We start from the raw sequence: 27817 nt of genomic DNA, 5'->3' as shown, positions 1-27817 counted from the left end.
TAAGGGGGATATAACCACTGATCCCACAGAAATACAAACTATCCTCAGAGAATACTATAAACACCTCTATGAAAGTAAACTAGAAAATCTAGAAGAAATGGATAAATTCCTGGACACATACACCCTCCCAAGTCTAAACCAGGAAGAAGTTGAATCCTTGAATAGACCAATAACAAGTTCTGAAATTGAGGCAGTAATTAATAGCCTACCAACCAAAAAAAGCCCAGGACCAGATGGATTCCCAGCCAAATTCTACCAGAGGTACAAAGAGGAGCTGGTAATGTTCATTCGGAAACTATTCCAAACAATTGAAAAGGAGGCACTCCTCCCTAACTCATTTTATGAAGCAAGCATCATCTTGACACCAAAACCAGGAGGAGACATATACACAAAAAAAGAAAACTTCAGGCCAATATTCCTGATGAACATCAATGCAAAAATCCTCAATAAAATACTGGCAAACTGAATCCAGCAGCACATCAAAAAACTTATCCACCATGATCAATTTGGCTTCATCCCTGGGATGCAAGGCTGGTTCAACATGCACAAATCAATAAACATAATCCATCACAAAACAGAACCAAAGACAAAAACCACATGATTAACTTTACAGAGCTAGAAAACTTGACTTTCTTTACAGAACTAGAAAAAACTACTTTCAATTTCATACGGAACAAAAAAAAAAAAAATCTCATATAGCCAAGACAATCCTAAGCCAAAAGAACAAAGGTGGAGGCATCACACTACCTGACTTCAAACTATACTACAAGGATACAGTAACCAAAACAGCATGGTACTGGTACCAAAACAGATATATAGACCAATGGAAGAGAACAGGGGCCTCAGAAATAACATCACACATCTACAACCATCAGACCTTTACAAATCTGACAAAAACAAGCAATGGGGAAAGGATTTCCTATTTAATAAGTGGTGTTGGGAAAATTGGATAGCCATATGCCAGAAACTGAAAATGGACCACTTCCTTACACCTTATACAAAAATTAACTCAAGATGGATTAAAGACTTAAATGTAAGACCTAAAACCATAAAAACCTTAAAAGAAAACCTAGGCAATACCATTCAGGACATAGGCATGGGGAAAGACTTCATGAGTAAAACACCAAAAGCAATGGCAACAAAAGCCAAAATTGACAAATGGGATCTAATTAAACTAAAGAGCTTCTGCACAGCAAAAGAAAATACCATCAGAGTGAACAGGCAACCTACAGAATGGGAGAAAATTTTTGCAATCTATCCATCTGACAAAGGTCTAGTATCCAGAATCTACAAGGAACTTAAACAAATTTACAAGGAAAAAAACCAAACAACCCCATCAAAAAGTGGGTGAAGGATATGAACAGACACTTCTCAAAAGAGGACATTTATGTGTCCAATAAACATATGAAAATCATCATCACTGGTCGTTAGAGAAATGCAAATCAAAACAACTATGAGATACCATCTCCTGCCAGTTAGAATGGCAATCATTAAAAAGTCAGGAAACAACAGATGCTGGAGAGGATATGGAGAAATAGGAATGCTTTTACACTGTTGGTGGGAGTGTAAATTACTTCAACCATTGTGGAAGATAGTGTGGAGATTCCTCAGGAATCTAGAATCAGAAATACCAATTGACCCAGCAATCCCATCACTGGTTGTATACCCAAAGGATTATAAATCATTCTACCATAAAGACACATGCACATGTATGTTTATTGCAGGACTATACACAATAGCAAAGACTTGGAACCCACCAAAATGTCCATCAGTGATAGACTGGATAAAGAAAATGTGGCACATATCCACCATGGGATACTATGCAGCCATAAAAAAGGATGAATTCATGTCTTTTGCAGGGACATGGATTAAGCTGGAAACCATAATTCTCAGAAAACTAACACAGGAACAGAAAGCCAAACACTGCATGTTCTCACTCTTAAGTGGGAGTTGAACAATGAGGACACAGGGAGGGGAATGTCACTCACTGGGGCTTTTTGGGGGGTGGAGGGCTATGGAAGGGGTAGCATTAGGAGAAATACCCAATGTAGATGACAGGTTGATGGGTGCAGCAAACCACCATGGCACGTGTATACCTATGTAACAAATCTACACATTCTGCACATGTATTCCAGATCTTAAAGTGTGTGTGTGTGTGTATGTGTGTGTGTGTATATATATTTAAAAAGAAATCAAAGAGCAAATCTAGAACATAGCTAGAAGAAAAAAAGACATGGGGCTTTCAAAGGTGTAACAAAAGTATTCTAGCTGATTACTTATTAGAAATAAAAGCCAGCAGAAAAAAATAGAATGGTGCCTTAAAATGTTAAAAGAAAATCACTGCCAACTCTTTTCCAAGTGTGAAAGATGAATAAACACACTCTCAGTTAAAAAAAACACAGAAAATTGTCAGCAGGTTTTACTGAAAAATTATTGAACTGAGTCTTTCATGAAGCAGGAAAATATGACAGAGGAAAACACAGCACTATATCAAGAGCAGCATAAAGGATAAATATTAGGGGTAATCTAGATTCAAATTTTCTATATAAAAATAAATAAATTCTTGCAAGGTTTAAAATAGATATACAGCCACAAAACACAAAAACAAAGGACAAAAGTCAAGAAAAGGTCAATGGACTTTTACTATTCTGCAGTTCTTATGTTGTACAGAAAATTTTAAAAAGACTAATTTGTATTAGAATCTAAGAAGTGAAAAAACATTGTATTATCTAGGATAATGACTAAGAATAGTAAAAAAGTAAGTTTATAAGTAACAAAATAAGAAAAGGGGAAATGAAATAATGAATGTCACTGGATTCATCCAAAATAAGTAAAGAAAGGAAAAAAAGAGGCATATAATAGGTGGTACAAATAGTAATATGGTATATTTAAACACTAATACATTAGTAATTACATTAAGTATAAATGAATTAAATAACCCACTTGGACAAAATTTTTATACTGCATTAAAAATTGACTAAATACTGCTGAATGTAAGTGTATCTTAAATATAACGATACAGAAATAGTGAAAGGAAAGCTAAAATTGATAGCACTACAGAAAGAAAAAGGATAAATCCACAATAACAGTGGAAAATGTTAAAATACCTCTTTTAGTAATTTATAGAGCAGACTACAAAAAATCAGTAAGGAGATTATAGATTTTAACTGAAGATTGACAAATCGGTATAGAACGCTGTACCCCCAAATTGAAGAATAATTATTTTCAAGTGTACATAAAACTGTTACCAAAATTGACACTATGTTGGGCCATAAAGCAAGTCTCAACAAATTCGAAGAGTTAAAATCATACAAAATAAATTCGCTGATCATAATTTTATTTAGCTTTGAAGGAATTTAAAACATTTTACCCTAAAATATATTTCTTTGACATATTTTGAAATGGCTGCTGCAGAGCCAGCAAAGAGAAGTGGCCTTGCAAAGCTGACTTTTGTGGAGAATAATTTGTATTTGTAGAAAATCTCCACTAATCTAGCCAGGTGTTTTCTATTCCTTTCCTAGATCTAGGAAAGAATGAGAGTCTGATAACTTTAAAAGTCTAAAAAAAAAAAAATGCCATTTATTCTCTCTAAGGGATGCTTCATCTATACAACGAGGCCACCTTTGCTAGCCAAGCCTCTTCCTTTCTCCCTTTTATAACCTCTCTTGCCACTAAAGCCTGTTGTGGGGCACATTCTGAACCCACATTGTTTCTATAATCTTAAGATGTTATACAAACCTCTGTATATATTATTGGGTTGGGTCTTCATTCTGAAGGTCCTGTGTATGCACAATGAATACATTTGTATGCTTTTTATCTTACTAGTCAATTTGGCTTCTGTAAGTAATTTTTCAGGAAACTTTACAGGGCCATGGCTTGAAATCAATAATAAAAAGATAAATAGAAAATCCCCAAACTTCCTGAAAATTATAGAACACATGTCTTTTATTTTTTTGCTTTTGGATTTAAAACAACTACATTTTATTTATTTTTAAAAAAATTTTAAAAAACGTTTAAGTTGGGGGTACATGTGCAGGTTTGTTACATAGATAAACTTGGGTCATGGGGGTTTGTTGCACAGATTATTTCATCACCTAGGTACTAGGCCTAGAACATGAAGGGATGTTAAATTTGTTTGAAGGCCTTTTTTCATCTATTGAAATAATCATGTGGTTTTTGTCTGTAGTTTTGTTTATGTGATGAATCACACTTGCTGATTTGCATGTGTTGAACCAACCTTGCATCCCAGGGATGAAACCTACTTGATTGTGGTGGATAAGCTTTCTGATGTGTTGCTGGATTCAGTTTGCTAGTATTTTGTTGAGGATTTTTGCATTGATGTTCATCAAACATATTGGTCTCAAGTTTTTGTTGTTGTTGTATCTCTGCCAGGTTTTGGTATCAGAATGAAGCTGACCTCATAGAATGAGTTAGGGAGGAGTTCATCCTCAATTTTTTTGAAATAGTTTCAGCAGGAATGGTAGTAGCTCTTCTTTGCACATCTGATAGAATTCACCTGTGAATATGTCTGGTCCTGGCCTTTTTTTGATTGGTAGGCTATTTATTTCTTATTCAATTTCAGTGCTTATTATTGGTCTGTTTAGGGATTTAGTTTCTTCCTGGTTCAGTCTTGCAAGGGTGTATGTGTCCAGGAACTTATTTATTTATTTGAGATTTTCTAGTTCATGTGCATAGAAGTGTTCATAGTATTCTCTGATGGTTGTATTTCTGTGGGTGAGTGGTAATATCCCTCTTGTCATTTCTAATTGAAAAATACATTTTATTGTGTATATGTGAGGTTTACATAACATGATGCTATTTGATACATATAGATAGTAGAATGGTTACTGTAGTGAAGTAAATTAACATATCTAGCATCTCACATAATTACTTTTTTTGTGACAAGAGCAGCTAAAACCTACTTAACAAAAATCTCAACTATGATACAATTTTTTAACCTTCATTTTATATTCAGAGGTATATGTGAAGGTTTGTTACATAGGTAAATTCTGTGTCACAGGGTTTGATGTACAGATTATTTTATCATGCAGGTAATAAGGATAGTACCTGATAGGTAGTATTTTTGTAACTGCCAGATGGGTTTACCTTGTCTGCTGCCTAGACAGAGCCAATTTATCAAGACAAAGGAATTTCAATAGAGAAAGAGTAATTCACACAGAGCTGGCTGTTGGGGGAGGCCAGAGTTTTGTTATTACTCAAATCAATGTCCCTGAGAGTTCATGAATGGAGTTTTTAAGGATAATTTGGTGGGTAGGGGGCCAGTGAGTCAGGAGTTCTGATTGGTCAGGTTGGAGATGAAATCATAGGGAGTTGAAGCTGTCCTCTTATGCTGAGTTAGTTCCTGGGTGGGGGCCACGAGATCAAATGAGCCAGTTTATCAATCTGGGTGGTGCCAGGTGATCCAGCCAATGAGGGGTCTGTAAAATATCTTAAGCACTGATCTTAGGTTTTGCAGTGATGTTATACCCAGGAGCAATTTGAGGTGGTTTAACATTTTGCAGCCTCTAGTTGTTTGACTCTTAAACCATAATTTCTAATCTTGTGGCTAGTTAGTTGTGCAAAGGCAGTCTATTCTCCAGGCAGGAAGGGAGTTTGTTTAGGGAAAGGGCTGTTATTATCTTTGTTTCAAAGCTAAACTATAAACTAAGTTCCTCCCAAAATTACTTCAGCCTACACCTAGGAATGAACAAGGACAGCCTGGAGGCTAGAAGCAAGATGAATTTGGTTAGGTCAGATCTGTTTCACTGTGATAATTTTCTCAGTTATGATTTTTTGCAAAGGTGGTTTCATTTTTATCCTCACCCTCCTGCCACCCTCCACCCTTGAGTTGGTCCTGGTGTCTTTTGTTCCCTTCTTTGTATGAGTGTGTACTCAATGTTTAGCTCTCACTTTTAAGTGAGGACATGCAGTATTTGGTTTTCTGTTTCTGCATTGGTTCATGTAAGATAATGCCTCCAGTGCCATCCATGTTTCTGCAAAGGACATGATCTCATTCTTTTTTATGGCTGCATAGTATTCCATGGTATATATGTACCACAGTTGCTTTACCCAGTTTACCATTGATAGACATTTAGGTTGATTCTATGTCTTTGCTGCTGGGAGCACACTTTTAAATAATGCATGGGTCAAATCACAGTGGAAATTAGAAAAAAAATTAACTGAATGATAATTAAAACATGGCATGCCAAAGTTGTGTGAACCACCTTAGCTATACTTGACAGTTGTCGAATACATATATAAGAAAGCATAGCATAAAATATATTACATGTATTAAATATTTAGTAATCATAGTATTAAATGTAAAGGAAGAAGATTAAAAATCAATGATCTAGGTATCCATGTCAAAAAGTTAGAAAACTAGAAACCAATAAAACCCAAAGAAAATAAGGGAATTGGAATAGTAAAGATGAGAGTAGAACTTATTTCAATTGAAAACAGACTTACAATGGGAACATTTATCAAGGCCATAAGTTGATATCCTAAACATCTAGTAAAACTGATATACCTCTGGCAAGAAATAATCATTGTAATTCACCATATTAGCAGGATATAGAAAAATCACCTGATCATATCCTGAACCCAGAAAATCTGAGACAGGTCTCAGTTAACTCAGAAAGTCTTTTTCCCAAGATTGAGGATGCGCCTGTGACACAGCCTCAGGAAGTCCTGATGACATGTGCCCAAGATGGTTGGGGCACAGCTTGGTTTTATACATTTAGTGAGACATAAGAAATCAACTAATATATGTGAAAAGTATATTGGGTCAGTCCGGAAAGGCAGGACAACTTGAAGCAAAGGCAGGAAGACTCCAAGTGGGGAGGGAGCTGTCCTGAATGGTATTGCCCAGGTTTTCTTCTAGGGTTTTTATGGTTTTAGGTCTAACATTTAAGTCTTTAATCCATCTTGAATTAATTTTTGTATAAGGTGTAAGGAACGGAAAAAAACCTAGGCAATACCATTCAGGACATAGGCATGGGCAAGGACTTCATGTCTAAAACACCAAAAGCAATGGCAACAAAAGCCAAAATTGACAAATGAGACCTAATTAAACTCAAGAGCTTCTGCACAGCAAAAGAAACTACCATCAGAGTGAACAGGCAACCTACAGAATGGGAGAAAATTTTTGCAATCTACTCATTTGACAAATGACTAATATCCAGAATCTACGATGAACTCCAACAATTTACAAGAAAAAAAGAAACAACCCCATCAAAAAGTGGATGAAGGATATGAATAGACACTTCTCAAAAGAAGACATTTATGCAGCCAAAACACATGAAAAAATGCTCATCATCACTGGTCATCAGAGAAATGCAAATCAAAACCACAATGAGATACCATCTCTCACCAGTTAGAATGGCAATCATTAAAAAGTCAGGAAACAACAGGTGCTGGAGAGGATGTGGAGAAATAGGAACACTTTTACACTGTTGGTGGGACTGTAAACTAGTTCAACCATTGTGGAAGTCAGTGTGGCGATTCCTCAGGGATCTAGAACTAGAAATGCCATTTGACCCAGCCATCTCATTACTGGGTATATACCCAAAGGATTATAAATCATGCTGCTATAAAGACACATGCACACGTATGTTTATTGCAGCACTATTCACAATAGCAAAGACTTGGAACCAACCCAAATGTCCAACAATGATTGACTGGATTAAGAAAATGTGGCACATATACACCATGGAATACTATGCAGCCATAAAAATTGATGAGTTCATGTCCTTTGTAGGGACATGGATGAAGCTTGAATCCATCATTCTCAGCAAACTATCGCAAGGACAGAAAACCAAGCACCGCATGTTCTCAGTCATAGGTGGGAATTGAACAATGAGAACACATGGACACAGGAAGGGGAACATCACACACCAGGGCCTGTTGTGGGGTTGGGGGAGAGGGGAGGGATAGCATTAGGAGATATACCTAATGTTAAATGACGAGTTAATGGGTACAGCACACAAATATGGCACATGTATACATATGTAACTAACCTGCACGTTGTGCACATGTACCCTAAAACTTAAAGTATAATAAAAACAAAAAGAAAAACAAAAAAAAAAGAATAACCAAAAAAAAAAAAGAAAAAAAAAGAAAAATATTTGGACTTCTTTTTGCTCTGGCAATGATGTCCCTCCCCAAAGAACCCTTTCCATAGTTATATCAGTTAAGAACTGAACTTACCCATGAATAAAAAAACCCTCCCAACATGGTCATTATTAAGGATTTAATTTGTCTTACATAACAAGAAACCCAGAAGTAGATGGTTCCTTGATTCTCTGAGATCTAAGCTTTTGATCTTCCACTCAGCCCAGTCTGCCACATAGAGTTGTGACAATTTTTGTTTTCCAGTGGTGCCCAGTGAGGGGATAAGTGAAAGTTAAAACAGACCTTTCTCTCAGAGACAGTAACTTCCCCCCTTTCTCACAGAGGTATTATCTAGTTTAGCTATTGCCAACCGCATCTTCCCTATTCTACTCCATTAGTTGATATGACTAGTTTTATGCCAGCACCATGCTAATTCAATTACTGTAGCTTTGTAATAACTTTGGAATTCAGATAATGTGAAAATTCTAGCTATATTGTTTTTCAAGATTATTTTGGCTATTTGATGTCTATTGAGATTTCATAGGAATTTTAGGATGGATTTTTCCATTTCTAGACACAAGTTTATTGGGATTTTGTTAGGAATTGTATTGAACATACACATTTTCTGTAGTATTGACCTCTTAAGCATATTGTTTAAGCTGACCCCAAATATTTTCTTATTTTGATACTATTGTAAATAGAATTGTTTTATTTATATCCTTGTCAGATTTTTCATTGTTAATGTATAGAAACATAATGGATTTTGGCATGTTGTATTTATATTCTGTGACTGTGCTGGATTTGTTTGTATTAATAAGCTCAGGCTTCCATAACAAAATGCTGCAGTTTGGGTGGTTTACATAACAGAAATTTCTTTTCTCATAGTTCTGGAGGCTCCAATTGCAAGATCAAATTCCAGTTGATTTGGTTTCTGGTGAGGTCTCTCTTCCTGGCTTGAAGACAGCTGCCTTCTCATTATATCATCACATGGCCTTTCCTCAGTGAATTTGCTTGAATAGTGAGCTGTCCGGTGTCTCTTCTTATAAGGACACTAATTCTATCAGATCAGGGCCCCAGTTTTTGAACTCATTTAACTTTAATTACTTCCCACTGCAAATACAGCCACAATGGCAGTTATGGCCTCAAATATAAATTGTGGGGGTAGAGGGAGACACAAAAATTTAGTCCATTTATTAGTTCTAACAGTTTTTCTCCCTGTAATCTCTAGAGTTTTCTACAGATAAAAATCACATTATCTCCTCCAACTAACATCAACAGCATATACATTCTTCTCATCTGCACACAGACCATACTCTAAGATCGACCACATTCTCAGCCATAAAGTAAGTCTCAATAAATTTAAAAATTCAGAATCATACCAAGCATACTCTCAGAACAGTGAAATAAAAATCAATATCAAGAAGGCCTCATAAAAACACACAATTACATTGAGATTAAAGGACTTTCTCCTGAATGACTTTTGGGTAAACAATGAAATTAGAGCAGAAATTTAAAAAAAATCCTTGAAATTAATGAAAATGGAGACACAACATACCAAAATCTTTGGGATCCAAGTAAAATAATGTGGGGAGGAATGTTTATAGTGCTAAACACCTGTTATACATCAACACTTTAAAAAGATTTAAAATGAAAATTCTAACATCACAGCTAGTGAGAACAAACCATCCCCAAAGCTAGAAGAAGAAAAGAATAACCAAAATCAGCAAAACTGGATAAAACTGAGATGCAAAAATCCATAAAAAAGATAAATGAAACCAAAAGTTGGTTCTTTGAAAGAATAAACTAGAGTGATAGACAGCTAACTAGATTAACAAAGAAAATTTAAAAAAAAGATTCAAATAAGCACAATCAGAAATGAAAATACATTATAACTGATCTCACAGAAATAAAAAAGTTCATTAGGGACTGGCCTGACATGATGTCTCAAGCCTGTAATCCCAGCACTTTTGGTAGGACAAGGCAGGTGGATCACTTGAGGTCAGGAGTTCGAGACCAGCCTGGCCAACATGGTGAAACCGTGTCTCTACTAAAAATACAAAAAAGTAGCTGGGAATGGTGGAACATGCTTGCAGTCCCAGCTACTCAGGAGGCTGAGGCAGGAGAATCACTTGAACCTGGAAGACAGAGGTTGCAGTGAGCTGAGATCATGCCATGTACTCCAGCCTGGGTGACAGAGTGAGACTCCATCTCAATAATAATAAAAAATAATCAGAGAGTATTATGAACAGCACTATGCACACAATTTAGAAAATTTAGATGAAATGGATAAATTCCTGGAAACACACAACTTCCCAAGGTAGAACCAGGAAGAAATTGAAATGCTCAACAGACTGGTAATGAGTTCCAAAAATGAATCAGTTAAAAAAAAACCCAACCAGCTAACCAAAAATGCTGTGAGCCAGAGGGATTCACAGCGAAATTCTACCAGACATACAAATAAGAGCTGATACCAATTATATTGATGAAACTATTCCAAAAATGTGATAGCAAAATCTGGCAGAGACACAGCAACAAAAACAAAAACTTTAGGCCAATATCCCTGATGAACATAGATGCAAAAATCCTGAACAAAATACTAGCAAATCAAATCCAGCAACTCATCAAAATTGAATTCAGTGTGATCAAATAGGCTTTATCCATGGAATGCAAGGTTGGTTCAACATATGCAAATCAACAAATGTGATTGACAAATTAACAATTAAAAAACATATTACTTCTTCCTTTCCAATTTGGATGGCTTTTATTTTTCTTCTTGTCTAATCGCTCTAGCTAGGACTTCCAGTATCATAAGGAACAGAAGTGGTGAGAGCAGGCATTGATGTCTAATAAAACATATCATAGAAGAAAAGCTTTCAGTCTTTGACCATTGAGCATGACTTTAGCTGTGGGTTTTTAACATGTGACCTTTACTATATTGAAGTAGTGTCCTTCTATTCCTAGTTTGTTGAGTATTTTTTTTTTAATTATGAAAAGGGCTTGAATTTTATCAAATGTGTTTTCTGCACCTATTGAAATGATAATATGGGCATCTTTTCTTCATTCCGTTATTGTGGTATATTATATTGTTTTCTTTTCATATGTTGAGACATCCTTGACTTCAAAAAATAAGCCCATTTTGGTCATGGTGTATAATTCTATTAATGTCCTTTTGGATGCATTTTGTCAGTATTTTGTTGAGGATTTTTGAATCCATACTCATAAGGGATATTAGTTCGTAGGGGTTTTTTTCTTATAGTGTCATTGTATAGATGTATTATCCAGGTAAGGCTGGCTGCATAGAATGAGTTAAAAAGTCTTCCTTCCTTGATGTAGTTCAGATGTTTTTCCCCTCCAAATCTCATGTTGAGATGTGATCCCCAATGTTGGATGTGGGGCCTGATGCGAGGTGTTTTTGCAAAGGGAGTGGATCCTTCATGGATGGCTTGGTGCCCTACTTGTGGTAGTGAGTGATTTCTCATTCTCTTAGTTTATATGAGAGCTGTTTAAAGAGCCTGGCAACTGCTCCATTCCTTCTTACTCCTCTCACCGTGTGTCATGTCTGCTCCTCCTTCCTCTTCCACTGTGATTGTAAGCTTCTTGGGGTCCTCACCAGAAACAAATACTGGCACTATGCTTCTTGCACAGTCTGAAGAACTGTGAGCAAAAATAAACCTTCTTTCTTTATCAACTACCCAGCCTCAGATATTCCTCTATAGAAACCCCAAGCAGACTAATACACTCCTCTTCAATTTTTTTGCAAGGTTTTGAGCAGGATTGGTGTTAATTCTTTTTAAAATGGTTAACAGAATTCATTAGTGAAGCCATCTGGTTTTGGGCATTTCTTTTTTGGCAGGTTTTCATGATTTGGTCTTGGTGTGTTTGTGTTTCCAGATATTTTCTCATTTCATCTATATTATCTAATTTGTTGATATGAAATTATTTATAATACTTGTTATAATTCTTGTTATTTCTGTAAAATCCATAGTGATGTCTCCACTTTCATTTCTGATTTTAGTCACTTGAGTCTTCTTTTTTTCATTTTCAGTCAATCTAGAAAAGGTTTGTCAATTTTGGTGATTTTTTCCAAAGAACCTATTCTTCACTTCATTGATTTTCTCTATTTCTGTTTTATTTTTCTCTGCTCTGATTTTTATTATTTCCTTCTGCTATTTTCAAGTTAATTTTTCTCTTCTTTTTCTAGTTCCTGAAGATGTAAAGTTGAGTTGTAGATTTGATATTTTTTTCAGTGTATAACTCTAATGAGAAATCATTTAGAGTTATAAATTTTCATTTTAGCCCTCCTTTTACTGTATTCCATTAGTTTTCGTATGTTGTGTTTAAATTGTTATTTGTCTCAGGATATTTTCTAATTTCTCTTGTGATTTCTCCTTTAATCCATTGGTTGTTTAAGACTGTGTTGTTTGATTTTCACATATTTGTGAATTTTACAATTTTCCCTCTGTTATTCTTTTCTATTTCCATTTATTTGTTTTCAGAATAGATACTTTATATAATTTCAAGCTTTTAAATTTATTAAGGCTTGTTTTGTGAACTATACATGGTCAATCCTGGAGAATGTTCCATGTTCACTTGAGAAAAATGTGCATTCAGCTTTTGTTGCATGAAGTGTTCTGTGTATGTTTTAGGTCCAATTGGTCTGCAGTGTTGTTCATATTCTCTATTGCATAATTGATTTGTGTCTGTTGTTCTATTCATAATTGAAAGTAGCATTTTAGTCTCCTAGGATTATTGTAGAACTGTTTCTTTCTCCCTTCGATTCTGTCAATGTGTGTTTCATACTTTTAGTAGCTCTGATCTTCGATTGGTATATGTTTATAATCATTATATCTCAGTGAATTGACTCTTTTATCATTATGTAATGTCTTACTTTGTCTCTTATAATAGTTTTTATCTGAAAACCTATTTTATCCTATATTACTATAGCCACTCCTGCTCTCTTCTGGTAACTATTTGTATAAAATATTTTTATATAATTTTTTAATTTTTAATACATAGTAGGTGTGTGCACATATATGTGTATATATATGTATATATATGTATATATATATATATGGGGTATATGAGATGTTTTGATACAGGCATGCAATGTGAAATAATTACATCATGGGGAAAGGGGTATCCATCCCCTTCTTTGTGTTACAAACAATCCAATTACTCTCTTTTAGTTATTTAAAAATGTACAACTAGGCTATTATTGGCTACAGTCATCCTGTTGTGCTCTCAAATGCTAAATCTCATTCATTCTTTTTAACTACCTTTTTTTCATAACCATTAGCCATCTCCAACTCCCTCCCAGCCCCCTACTACCCTTCCCAGCCTCTGGTAACCGTCCTTCTACTCTCTATGTCCATGAATTCAATTTTTTTAATTGTTAGATCCCACAGATTAGTGAAACCCTGTGATGTTTGTCTTTCTGTGCCTGGCTTATTTCATTTAGTATAATGAACTCCATTTCCATTCATGCAGATGACAGAATTTCATTCTTTTCTATGGCTGAATAGTATTCCATTGAGTATAAGTACCACATTTTCTTTATCCACTCATCTGTTGGACACTTATGTTGCTTCCAAATCATGGCTATTGTGAACAGTGCTGCAACAAACATGGGAGTGCAGATATCTCTTCAATATACTCATTTCCTTTTTGGTGGGTATATACTCAGCAGTGAGATTGCTGAGGGGTGGCTCTATTTTTTGCTTCCTGAGGAACCTCCAACCAGTTCTCCAGAGTGATTGTACTAAATTAGATTCCCACCAACAGTGTACAAGTGTTCTCTTTTCTCCACAACCTCACCAGCAATTGTTTTTGCCTGTCTTTTGGATATAAGTCATTTTAACGTGGATTAGATGCTGTCTTATTGTAGTTTTGATTTGAATTTCCCTGATGATGAATAATGTTGAGCATCTCTTCATATGCCTGCTTGACATTTGTATGTCTTCTTTCAAGAAATGTCTATTCAGATTTTTTGTCCATTTTTTGATCAGATTATTAGATTTTTTCTTATAGAGTTGTTTGAGCTCCTTATATATTCTGGTTATCAATCACTTGACAGATAAGTAGTTTGCAAATATTTTCTCCCATTCTGTGGGTTGTATCTTCACTTTGTTGGTTGTATCCTTTGCTGTGCAGATTTTCAACTTGATATGATCTCATTTGTCCGTTTTTGCTTTAGTTGCCTGTGCTTGTCAGGTATTGCTCAAGAAACTTTTTCCCCACACCAATGTTTTGGAGATTTCGCCCAATGTTTTCTTGTAGTAGTTTCATAGTTTGAGGTCTCTGATTTAAGTCTTTAATTCATTTTGATTTGAAGTTTGTGTATGGTGAGAGATAGAGGTATAGTTTCATCCTTCTGCATATGGACCTCCAATTTCCCCGGCACCATTTATTAAAGAGACTGTCTTTTCTCCAATGTATTCTTGGCACCTTTGTCAAAAATCAGCTCTCTGTAGGTGTGTGGATTTGTTTCTGTGTTCTCAATTCTGTTGCATTGGTCTATGTGCCTATTTTTATGCCAGTAACATGCTGTTTTGGTTACTATAGCTCTATAGTATAATGTCAAGTCAAGTAATATGATTCCTCCAGTTTCGTTATTTTTGCTTAGGATAGCTTTGGTTGTTCTGTTTTTCTTTTTTTTTTTGTGGTTTCACGTAAATTTTAGAATTTTTTTTCTATTTCTGTGAAAAGTGTAACTGATATTTTGATAGAAATTGCATTGAATCTGTAGATTGCTTTGGCTAATATGGACATTTTAACAACACTGATTCTTCCAATCTGTGGACATGAACTATTTTTCCATTTTTTGGGGTCCTCTTCAATTTTTTCATCAATGTTTTATAGTTTTCATTATAGAGGTCTTTCATTTCTTTGGTTAATTTCTAGGTATTTAATTTTTTTGTTTGGTTATTGTCAATAGAATTACTTTTTTATTTCTTTTGTAGATTCTTCACTGTTGGCATATAGAAATGCTACTGATTCTTGTATGTTGATTTTGTGTCCTGCAACTCATTGAATTTGTTTATCACTTCTAATAGTTTTTTTGTGAGGAGTCATTAGGTTTTTCTAAATATATGATCATATCTTCTGCACACCATATTAATTTCACTTGTTCCTTTCCAATTTGGATCCCTTTATTTCTTTATCTTGTCTGGTTTTTATATGAATATTTTGCTATACTTTTATTTTCAACCTATGCATGTTCTCAGATCTAAAGTAAGTCTCTCAAAAGACACAATAGAGTTGTACTCTGTTTATTTATTCATTCTGCCACTCTATGTCTTTGATTGGGATGTTTACTCATTTAAGTTTAAAGTAATTACTAATAAGAGATGACTTCTTTTTGCCATTTTATTATTTATTTTCTGTGAGTCTTATAGCTTTTGGTGTCTTATTTTCTCCATTATTGTTTTCTATTTTGATAGCTTTTTTTTTCCTGTAGTGACAAGTTTGCATCTACTTCTGATTTTCTTTTGTGTGTATCCTACAGATATTTTCTTTTTGGTTACTATGGGAATTACTGTGGGAATGGGTATAGCATTCTAAAGTTATAATAATATATTTTAAACTGATACCAACATAATTTTAGTCACATACAAGCATTCTACTCCTTTTCCACCTTGCCCTTCCCCACTTTACATTATTGATGTTACAGATTATACCTCTGTATATTATGTACCCATTTACATATATTATAATTATTTATCTGTTAAATCCTATAGAAAAATGAAAAGTGGAGTTACATATCAAAATTAAATTAATACTGGTTGTAATATTTTTCCACGTATTTACTTTTACTAACAGGCTTTATACTTTTTGTGGCTTTCAGTTCCTGCCTATAATCTTTTCATTTCAACCTGAAGAATTCCCTTTAGCATTCCCTGTAAGGAAACTGTAGTGGTAATGAGCTCTCCCAGCTTTTGTTTTTTGGGGAATGTCTTAATTTCTCCTTTATTTTTGAAAGACAGTTTTGCAAGATGTAGAATTTTTAGTTGGCAAGTTTTTGTTGTTGTTGTTGTTGTTGTTTTCTCAGGTCCTTAAATATATCAGCCTTTTGACTTGCAATATTTCTGTTGGGAAATCCACAACCCCATTGAGAATTTCTTGATCATTATGAGGTACTTTTTTTTTATGCTTCCAAGATTCTTTCCATGTTTTTGGCTTCCAATAGTTTGATTATAATGTGTCTTTGTACTTGCACATTGTGCACATGTACCCTAAAACTTAAAGTATAATAATAATAAATAAAAAAAAGAAAAAATGTGTCTTAGTGTCCATGTTTTTGGCTTCCAATAGTTTGATTATGATGAGTCTTAGTGTAGGACTCTTTAGTTATATCCTATTTGAAGTTCATTGAGCATCTTGCATTTGTAGATCCATGTCTTTTCTTCAATTTGTGAAATTTTCAAGCATTATTTTTCTCAAGCGTCTCCTTTTCTCCCTCTCTTCTCCTTTGGGGATTCCTATAATGCATATATTATTTACTTTGATGCTGTACCATAAGTCCTTAGTCTCTTGTTCACCAGTTTTTCTTTCTTTGTATAAATTTAAGAGGTACAAGTAAAGTGCAATTTTATTATATGGAGATATTACATAGTGGTGAAGGCTTGACTTTTAGTTGTATCCGTCACCTGAATAACATACATTGTCACCATTAAGTAGTTTCTCATCATCCACCCCCTCCCATTCTTTCAAGTCTTCAATGTCTATTATTTCCCATTCTATATGTATGTGTATTATTATTTAGCTCTCACTTATATGTGAGAATATGTGGTATTTAACTTTATGTTTCTGAGTTGTTTCACTTGAGATCGTGGCCTCCAGTTGCACCCAAGTTGCTGCAAAAGACATGATTGCATTATTTTTAATTGCTGAATAGTATTCCACATTTTCTTTACCCAGTCATGGACATTTAGGTTGATTTCATGTCTTTGCTATTGTGAACAGTACTGTGATAAACATATGAGTGCAAGTATCTTTCTGAATAGTACTGTGATAGACACATGAGTGTATGCATCTTTTTGATATAATGACTTCTTTTCTTTGGGTTCATACCCAGTAGTGGGATTGCTAGATTGAATGGCAGTTCTATTTTCAGTTCTTTAATAAGCCTCCATACTGTTTTTCCATAAAGTTTGTACTAATAATTTACATTCCCACTAATAGTGTATAAGCACCTTTTCTTCACATAATTGCCAACATCTGTTATTTTTAAATTTTTTAATAATAGCCATTCTGACTGGTGTAAAATGATATTTCACTGTGGTTTTAATTTGCATTTCCCTGGTGATTAGTGATGTTGAGCATTTTTTCACTTTTGTTGATCATTTGTATGTCTTCTTTTGAAAATGTCTATTCATATCCTTCCCCTACATTTTAATTGAATTATTTGTGTTTTTTTTAGTTTAGAGTTTGCAAAGCACTTTAATCTTCTTTCTTTCATTTCTATTATGTGGACTCCATCACCTTTCTAACCATTGGTAAACTCAAGAGAAATGATGCCTGAAGTAGGGTATCATTCCCAAGTTGCCAGGGACATATTCAGTAAAGGATTTTACAATCTCAAGAGAACCATATTCCAAGGGAGTAGTAGCACACAATAGTACGCAACACTGTGGACTTTGCTGCACAGGACAGCTCACTCAATAGGCTCTATGGAGCTATTTAGAGAGTTCGAATGTCCCACTACTTATGGTGAAGGGAAACATGAAAGATGCTGTACTGCTTTCCAGAATCACTGATGTGCAGGCAAATCATATCCAGAGTATGGTAAAGAGCCACCAGAAGGTATTGGGAAGACCTGGCTGCCTACAAGCCATTAATCCTCTCCCAGGCACACACATGAAATTTTCAGAGGAAGATAACACATCTCATCTATTCTCTAATCTAGTAAGGCTGGCATTACCAGATGCAAGAGTCAATGATCAAGACAGAACCCTCTCCCATACTTCAGATTGCCATTGCGTAATTTGGCCCTGGGAAAGAGAGTTCCACATTGATATAATACCCCTCAAGGGCTGGGCATGGTGGCTTACACCTATAATCCCGGTACTTTGGGAGGCCGAGGTGGGCAGATCACCTGAAGTCAGGAGTTCGAGACCAGCCTGGCCAACATGGTGAAACCCCGTCTCTACAAAAAATACAAAATTAGCTGGGCCTGGTAGTGCATGCCTGTAATCCCAGCTACTTGGGAGGCTGAGGTGGAAGAATTGCTTGAACCTGGGAGGTGGAGGTTGCAGTGAGCCGAGATCATGCTACTGCACTCCAGCCTGGGTGACAGAGTGAGACTCAATCTAAGAAAAAAAGAAATAATTAAATACCCCTCATGAAGTTTAGAAACTGGCTACAACTATCAATATCTGGTCTTGCCTTCAGTATCATAGTGTTTTGCATAGCTAACACAACTCTACGTCAACCATGAAGAGCATTAACTCCTGGAGCACCACCACAGCTAAAGCCAACAGCTCTTTTTTCAGTGTTACTGTTTGCAGCAAGGCTCCAGCATTTGCTTGAGCTAGCTTTGGCCTTGCGCCTACTAAGAAACCCTGTGCCCCTAACATCCTGGTTTATGGTATCAGCAGCATTAGCTGTGGATCCAACAATCTGAACTATCTTTAAAATTTTTTAATTTTTAATTTCTCTGGGTACATAGTAGGTACATGTATTTATGGGGTACATGAGATATTTTCATACAGGCATGCAATGCATAATAAAAACTTCATAGAAAATGTGGTATCCATCCCCCAAAACATTTATCCTTTGTGTTACAAACAATACAATTATACTTTTTGTTGTTTAAAAATATACAATTAAAGTATTTTGACTACACACATCCTGTTGTGTTATCAAATACTAGGTCTTATTTATTCACTTTAAATATCTTTTTTTGGACCCATTAATCATCCCCACCTCCTCCTCATCCCCTACTACCCTTCCCACCTTCTAGTAACCATTCTTCTACTTTGTATGTCTATTAGTTCAATTGATTTGATTTTTAGATACCAAAAATAAGTGAGAACAAGTTATGTTTGTCTTTCTGTGCCTGGCTTATTTCATTTAGCATAATAAACCTCATTTCCATTCATGCAAATGACAGGATCTCATTCCTTTTTTGTGGCTGAATAGTACTCCATTGAGTATAAGAACATTTTCTTTATGCATTCATCCCTTGGACACTTAGTTTGCTTCCAAATCATAGCTATTGTGAACAGTGCTGCAACAAATGTGGGAGTGCAGATATCTCTTCAATATACTCACTTCCTTTCTTTTGGGTATATACTCAGCAGTGGAATTGCTGGATCATATGGTAGCTCTATTTTTAGTTTTTTAAAGGAAATTCCAAACTGTTCTCCACAGTGATTTTACTAATTTACATTCCCACCAACAGTGTCGAGGGTTCTCTTTTCTCCACATCCTCGCCAGCATTTGTTATTGCCTGTCTTTTGGATATACACCATATTAACTGAAAGAGATAACATTTCATTGTAGTTTTGATTTGCATTTCTCTGATGATCAATGATGTTGAGCATCTTTTCATAGGCCTGTTCGCCTTTTGTATGTCTTCTATTGAGAAATGTCTATTCAGATTTTTGCCTGTTTTTAAATTGGATTGTTAGCTTTTTTCCTTGTATTACTCTATACACACCCTAGTTATTAATCTCTTGTCAGAAGGGTATTTGCAAATATTTTCTCCCATCCCATGTGTTGTCTCTTCACTTTGTCAATTGTTTCCTTTGCTGTGCAGAAGCTTTTTAACTTGATGTGATCCCATTTGTCAATTTTTGCTTTGGTTACCTGTGCTTGTGGGGTTTGATTCAAGAAATTTTTGCCCAGAACAATGTCCTAGAGAGATTCCTCAATGTTTTCTTCTTGTAGTTTCATAGTTTGAGGTCTTAGATTTAAGTCTTTAATCCATTTTGGTTTGATTTTTGCATACAATGAGAGAAAGGAATCTAGTTTCATTCTTCTGCATATGGATATTCACTTTTCCCAACACCATTTATTGAAGAGACAATGTATGTTCTTTGCACGTTTGTGAAAAATGAGTGCACTTTGGTGTGCAGATTTGTTTCTGGGTTCTCAATTCTGTTCCATTGGTCTGTGTGTCTTTTTTTTTTTGGCAAATACCATACTGTTTGGTTTACTATATCTCTGTAGTATAATTTGAAGTCAGGTAATGTGATACCTCCAGTTTTCTTCTTTTTGCTCAGGGTAGCCTTTGCTATTCTGTGTCTTTTGTAGTTCCATATAAATTTTAGGGTTTTTTTTTCCTATTTTTGTGAAGAATATCATTAGTATTTTGATAGGAATTGCATTGAATCTGTAGATTGTTTTGGGTAGCATCCACCTTTTAACAATATTGATTCTTTCAGTCTATGAACATAAAATATCTTCCCATTTTTAGGTGTCTCCTTCAATTTATTTCAGCAGTATTTTATAGTATTCATTGTAGAGATTTTTCACTTTATTGTTTAAATTAATTTTTAGGCATTTGATTGTATTTGTGGCTACTGTAAATTTTATTACATTCTTGATTTCTTTTTGGATTATTCTCTGTTTGCATATAGAAATGATACTAATTTTTGTATGTTGATTTTGTATCCTGCAGCTTAATGAATTTGTTCATCAGTTCCAATAGTTTTTTTGGTGTAGTCTTTAGGTTTTTCTAAATAGAAGATCATATCTCATGCAAACGAAATGAGTTTCACTTGTTCATTTCCAATTTGGATGCCCTTTACTTCATTTTTTTTGACTGTCTTTGAGTTAAATCTACTTGGTGTTCTATAGCCTTCTTTTACTTACAAATTGGTATATTTCTCTAGGTTTGGGAAGTTCTCTGTTATTATTTCTTTGAATAAACTTTTTACCCCTATCTCTTTCTCTACCTCCTCTTTAAGGCCAATAACTCTTAGATTTGCACTTTTTAGGTAATTTTCTAGATCCTGTAGGCATACTTTATTGTTTATTGTTCTTTTTTTCTTTTGTCTCCTCTGTGTTTTTTTCAAATAGCCTGTCTTTAAGCTCACTAATTTTGTCTTCTGCTTGATCAATTTTACTACAAAAGACTCTGATATATTCTTTGGTATGCCAATTGCATTTTTCAGCTCCAGGATTTCTCTTTATTATTAATTATTTCAATCTTTTATTTAAATTATTCTGATAGAATTCTGAATTCCTTCTCTTTGTTTTCTTGAATTTTTTTGAGTTTTTTCAGAACAACTATTTTTAATACTCTGTTTGAAAGGTCACCAGAATTGTTCCCTGATTCCTTATTTAGTTAATTTGGTGAAGTCATATTTTCTTGGACAGTCATGATACTTGTGGATGTTCATCTATGTCTGGGCATTGAAGAATCCAGTATTTATTGTAGTCTTCTTGGTCTGGTCTTGTTTGTATCTTTTCCTCTTAGGAAGGCTTTCCAGATATTTGAAAGGACTTGAGTGTTGTGATCTAAGCTTTATCTGTTTTACAGGGACCCCCAAGCCCAGTACTGCGGTTCTAGCAGACTTGAAGAGGTACTGCCTGAATGGTCTTGGACAAGATCTGGGAGAATTCTCTTCATTACCAGGCAGAGACTCATGTTTTCTTATTTTATTTTCCCCTAAATAGAGTTTATCTCTGTTCTGAGCCCCCTGGAGGTGACGTGAAATTACACAAACATCTTTGATGCCCCTACCACTAGGACTTGCTCTGGGTCAGGTCTGAAGCCAGCGAAGCACTAAGTCTAACCCAAGTCCTGCTGTAACCACTCCCTGGCTATAGACTATGTTCTCTCAAGGTCCTGGGGACTCTACATTCAGCAGGTGGCAAAGCCAATTAGGCCTATGTCCAGGGTAGCAAGTTCCTCTAGGTGCCAGACAAGTCCAAAGTTGTTGTCTGGGAGCCAGACACTAGAGTCAAAAACCTTAGAAATCTACCTGGTTTTCTATTTTACTGCAGCTGAAATGGCACTCACATTACAATATGCAGACCTCCCCACTCTTCCCTCCCCTTTTCAAAGACAGAGGAGCCTCACCCCATGGCCATCACCACTACAGTCCCAGGGGTAGAATTGCCAGACTACCTCTTTTGTTCTCTTAAAGCCCAGAAGCTCTTCAGTCAGCTTGCGGTGAATGCTGCCTGGCCTTGGACTCACCTTTCATGGCAGTGGGCTCTTCTGTGGCCCAGACCCAGTCCAGGAATGCTGTCCAAGAGCCAAGCCCTGGAATTGGGCACCCCAAAAACTGGCTTGGTGCTCTACCCTTCTGTGGCTGAGCTGGTACCTAAAGTCCAAGACAAAATCTCCTTTAATTTTTCCTCTACTTTTCTCAATCGAAAGGAGTCTCACCTTGTAGCCACCAAAGCTGGGAATGTGCTGAGTCTCACCTGAAGCCAGCAAGTCTGAAAGTTTCACCGAAGGGCCTTGTCATAGTACCTGGGTTTCTCTGCTGGTTATTCAGGGCCCTAGGGCTCTTCAGTTAGCAGGTAATGAATCTCACCAGGACTGGGTCTTTCCGTTCAAGGCAGTAGCTTCCCTTCTGGCCCAGAGTGTCTCTAGAAATGTCATCCAGGAGCTAGTGCCTGAAAAGGTGGCCTCAGGACTTTGACCGGTGCCCTATACTAATGCAGCTGAGCTGGTATTCAAAATGGAAGATAAAGTCCTCCCATTTTTCCCTCTCCTGTTTTCAGCAAAGGGAAGGTGTCTCTTTTGGAACTGTGAACTGTGCAGCCTGGGGTTAGGGGAGGAGGATGCCAGCACTTCTATAGCTACCCAGGCTGGTGTCCCAGTAGGTTACATGCACCCTAGTCCACTGGCTCCGCCCAATTCAGCACTAGTACTTACCTAGGAGTAGCAGTTATTGTGGCCTAGGCTGCATTTCAAGTTTACTTGGGATCCCAGAGTACTTTAGCCCATGGTGGCGAGGCTTGTGGGAACTCAAGTTTGGGCTGTTGGGATCAGAGATTCTCACCACCTACGGCTGGTTTGAATGCTCTACACCTGGATGGGTGTCAGCTGAGTTTGGTCTGGTATTATTTTCTGCTACAACAGGGCACCATTGAGTGAAATACTTCACAACTGCTGCACTGTCCCTCTCCGTAGTGCACAGAAATGCTCTCTGCACCATACGGCCAATATCTAGGGATGGGGGAGGGGTGGCATTCATCACTTAAGACTCTTTTTCCCACCTCTTCAGTGCCTCTTTCAGTGATATAAAGTTAAAACTAGACTCTGTGAGTGCTCATCTTATTTTTAGTTCTAATGATGGTGCTTTTTTGTGTAGATAGTTTTTTTTTTTAAATTATACTTTAAGATCTGGGTTACATGTACAAAACATGCAGTTTTGTTACATAGGTATACACGTACCATTGTGGTGTGCTGCACCCATCAACCTGTCACCTACATTAGGTATTTCTGCTAACGTTATCCCTCCAAGAGCCCCCCTCCCCACACAGGCCCCGGTGTGTGATATTTCCCGCCCTGTGTCCATGTGTTCTCATTGTTCACCTCCCACTTATCAGTGAGAATATGCAGTGTTTAGTTTTCTGATCTTGTGATAGTCCAGCTTCATCCATGTCTCTGCAAAGGACATTAACTCATCCTTTTTTTAAAAATTTTATTATTATTATTCTTTAAGTTTTAGGGTACATGTGCACAACGTGCAGATTTCTTGCATATGTATACATGTGCCATGTTGGTGTGCTGCACCCATTAACTCGTCATTTAGCATTAGGTATATCTCCTAATGCTATCCCTCCCCCCTCCCTCAACCCCACAACTGTCCCCTGTGTGATGTTCCCCTTCCTGTGTCCATGTGTTCTCATTGTTCAATTCACACCTATGAGTGAGAACGTGCGGTGTTTGGTTTTTTGTCCTTGCGATAGTTTGCTGAGAATGATGGTTTCCAATTTCATCCATGTCCCTACAAAGGACATGAACCCATCATTTTTTATGGCTGCATAGTATTCCATGGTGTATATGTGCCACATTTTCTTAATCCAGACTATCATTGTTGGACATTTAGGTTGGTTCCAAGTCTTTGCTATTGTGAATAGTGCCACAATAAACATATGTGTGCATGTGTCTTTATAGCAGCATGATTTATAATCCTTTGGGTATATACCCAGTAATGGGATGACTGGGTCCAATGGTATTTCTACTTCTAGATCCCTGAGGAATCGCCACACTGTCTTCCACAATGGTTGAACTAGTTTACAGTCCCACCAACAGTGTAAAAGTGTTCCTATTTCTCCACATCCTCTCCAGCACCTGTTGTTTCCTGACTTTTTAATGATCGCCATTCTAACTGGTGTGAGATGGTATCTCATTGTGGTTTTGATTTGCATTTCTCTGATGGCCAGTGATGATGAGCATTTTTTCATGTGTTTTGGCTGCATAAATGTCTTCTTTTGAGAAGTGTCTATTCATATCCTTCGCCCACTTTTTGATGGGGTTGTTCGTTTTTTTCTTGTAAATTTGTTTGAGTTCTTTGTAGATTCTGGATATTAGCCCTTTGTCAGATGAATAGGTTGCGAAAATTTTCTCCCATTCTGTAGGTTGCCTGTTCACTCTGATGGTAGTTTCTTTTGCTGTGCAGAAGCTCTTGAGTTTAATTAGATCCCATTTGTCAATTTTGGCTTTTGTTGCCATTGCTTTTGGTGTTTTAGACATGAAGTCCTTGCCCATGCCTATGTCCTGAATGGTATTGCCTAGGTTTTCTTCTAGGGTTTTTATGGTTTTAGGTCTAACGTTTAAGTCTTTAATCCATCTTGAATTAATTTTTGTATAAGGTGTAAGGAAGGGATCCAGTTTCAGCTTTCTACATATCGCTAGCCAGTTTTCCCAGCACCATTTATTAAATAGGGAATCCTTTCCCCATTGCTTGTTTTTCTCAGGTTTGTCAAAGATCAGATAGTTGTAGATATGTGGCATTATTTCTGAGGGCTCTGTTCTGTTCCATTGAACTATATCTCTGTTTTGATACTAGTACCATGCTGTTTTGGTTACTGTAGCCTTGTAGTATAGTTTGAAGTCAGGTAGCATGATGCCTCCAGCTTTGTTCTTTTTGCTTAGGATTGACTTGGCAATGAGGGCTCTTTTTTGGTTCCATATGAACTTTAAAGTAGTTTTTTCCAATTCTGTGAAGAAAGTCATTGGTCACTTGATGGGGATGGCATTGAATCTATAAATTACCTTGGGCAGTATGGCCATTTTCACGATATTGATTCTTCCTACCCGTGAGCAAGGAATGTTCTTCCATTTGTTTGTATCCTTCTTTATTTCATTGAGCAGTGGTTTGTAGTTCTCCTTGAAGAGGTCCTTCACATCCCTTGTAAGTTGGATTCCTAGGTATTTTATTCTCTTTGAAGCAATTGTGAATGGGAGTCCACTCATAATTTGGCTCTCTGTTTTGTCTGTTATTGATGTAAACTCATCCTTTTTATGGCTGCGTAGTATTCCATGGTGTATATGTGCCACATTTTCTTCATCCAGTCTATCACTGATGGACATTTTCGTTGGTTCCAAGTCTTTGCAATTGTGAATAGTGCTGCAATAAACATACGTGTGCATGTGTCTTGATAGTAGAATGATTTATAATCCTTCGGGTATATGCCCAGATTGGTGGGTCAAATAGTATTTCTAGTTCTAGATCCTTGAGGAATCGCCACACTGTCTTCCACAATGGTTAAACTAATTTACACACTCACCAACAGTGTAAAAGTATTCCTATTTCTCCAGATCTTCTCCAGCATCTTTTGTTTCCTGACTTTTTAATGATCGCCATTCTAACTGGCAAGAGATGGTATCTCATTGTGGTTTTGATTTGCTTTTCTCTAATGACCAGTGATGATGAGCAGTTTTTCATATGTCTGTTGGCTGCATAAATGTCTTCTTTTGAGAAGTGCCTGTTCACATCCATTGCCCATTTTTTGATAGGGTTGTTTGTGTTTTTCTTGTAAATTTGATTAAGTTCTTTGTAGATTCTGGATATTAGCCTTTTGACAGATGAATAGATTGCAAAAATTTTCTCCCATTCTGTAATTTGCTTCTTTCCCTCTGATGATAGTTTCTTTTGCTGTGCAGAAGCTCTTGAGTTTAATTAGATCTCATTTGTCAATTTTGGCTTCTGTTGCCATTGCTTTTGGTGTTTTAGACATGAAGTCTTTGCCCATGTGTATGTCCTGAATGGTATTGCCGAGGTTTTCTTCTAGGATTTTTATGGTCCTAAGTCTTACATTTAAGTCTTTGATCCATCTTGAGTTGCTTTTTTATAAGGTGTAAGGAAGGGATCCAGTTTCAGTTTTCTGCATATGGCTAGCCAGTTTTCCCAACACGATTTATTAAATAGGGAATCTTTTGTCCATTGCTTATGTGTGTCAGGTTTGTCAAATAACCGATGGTGGTAGTTGTGTGGTGTTATTTCTGAGGCCTCCGTTGTGTTCCATTGGTCTATACATCTGTTTTGGTACCAGTACCATGCTGTTTTTGTTACTGTAGACTTCTAGTAGAGTTGAAGTCAGGTAGTGTGATGCTTCCAGGTTTGTTCTTCTTGCTTAGGATTGTCTTGGTTATGCGGGCTCTTTTTTGGTTCCATATGAAGTTTAAAGTAGTTTTTTCCAGTTCTGTGAAGAAAGTCAGTGGTAGCTTCTTGGGGATAGCACTGAATCTGTAAATAACTTTGGGCAGTAGGGCCATTTTCACAATATTGATTCTTCCTATCCATGAGCATCGAATGTTATTCCATTTGTTTGTGTCCTCTCTTATTTCCTTGAACAGTGGTTTGTAGTTCTTCTTGAAGAGGTTCTTCACATTCCTTGTAAGTTGGATTCCTAGGTATTTTATTTTCTTAGTAGAAATTGTCAATGGGAGTTCACTCATGATTTGGCTCTCTGTTTGTCTGTTCTTGGTGTATAGGAATGCTTGTGATTTTTGCACATTGATTTTGTATCCTGACACTTTGCTGAAGTTGCTTTCATCAGCTTAAGGAGATTTTGGGCTGAGACGCTGGAGTTTTCTAAATATACAGTCATGTCATCTGCAAACAGAGAAGATTTGACTTCCACTCTTCCTATTTGAATATCCTTTATTGCTTTCTCTTACCCGATTACACTGGCCAGAACTTCCAATACTTTGTTGAATAAGAGTGGTGAGAGAGGACATCCTTGTCTTGTGCCGGTTTTCAAAGGGAATGTTTCCAGCTTTTGCCCATTCAGTATGATATTTGCTGTGAGTTTGTCATAAATAGCTCTTATTATGTTGAGATACGTTCCATCAATACCTAGTTTATTGAGAATTTTTAGCATAAAGCGCTGTTGAATTTTGTCAAAGGCCTTTTCTGCGTCTATTGAGATAATCATGTGGTTTTTGTCGTTGGTTCTGTTTATGTTATGTATTATGTTTATTGATTTGCGTATGTTGAACCACCCTTGTATCCCAGGGATGAAGCCGACTTGATCGTGGTGGGTAAGCTTTTTGATATGCTGCTGGTTTCGATTTGCCAGTATTTTATTGAGGATTTTCACATCGATGTTCATCAGGGATATTGGTCTAAAATTATCTTTTATTGTTGTTTCTCTGCCAGGCTTTGGTATCAGGATGATGCTGGCCTCATAAAATTAGTTAGGGAGGATTCCCTCTTTTTCTGTTGATCAGAACACTTTCAGAAGGAATGGTGTCAGCTCCTGTTTGTACCTGTGGTAGAATTTGGCTGTGAAC

The sequence above is a fragment of the Homo sapiens genome, chromosome X (assembly GCF_000001405.40).
Source record: "Homo sapiens chromosome X, GRCh38.p14 Primary Assembly".
NCBI classification, from domain to species: Eukaryota; Metazoa; Chordata; class Mammalia; order Primates; family Hominidae; genus Homo; species Homo sapiens.
Note: the sequence above shows the minus strand (reverse complement) of the source record.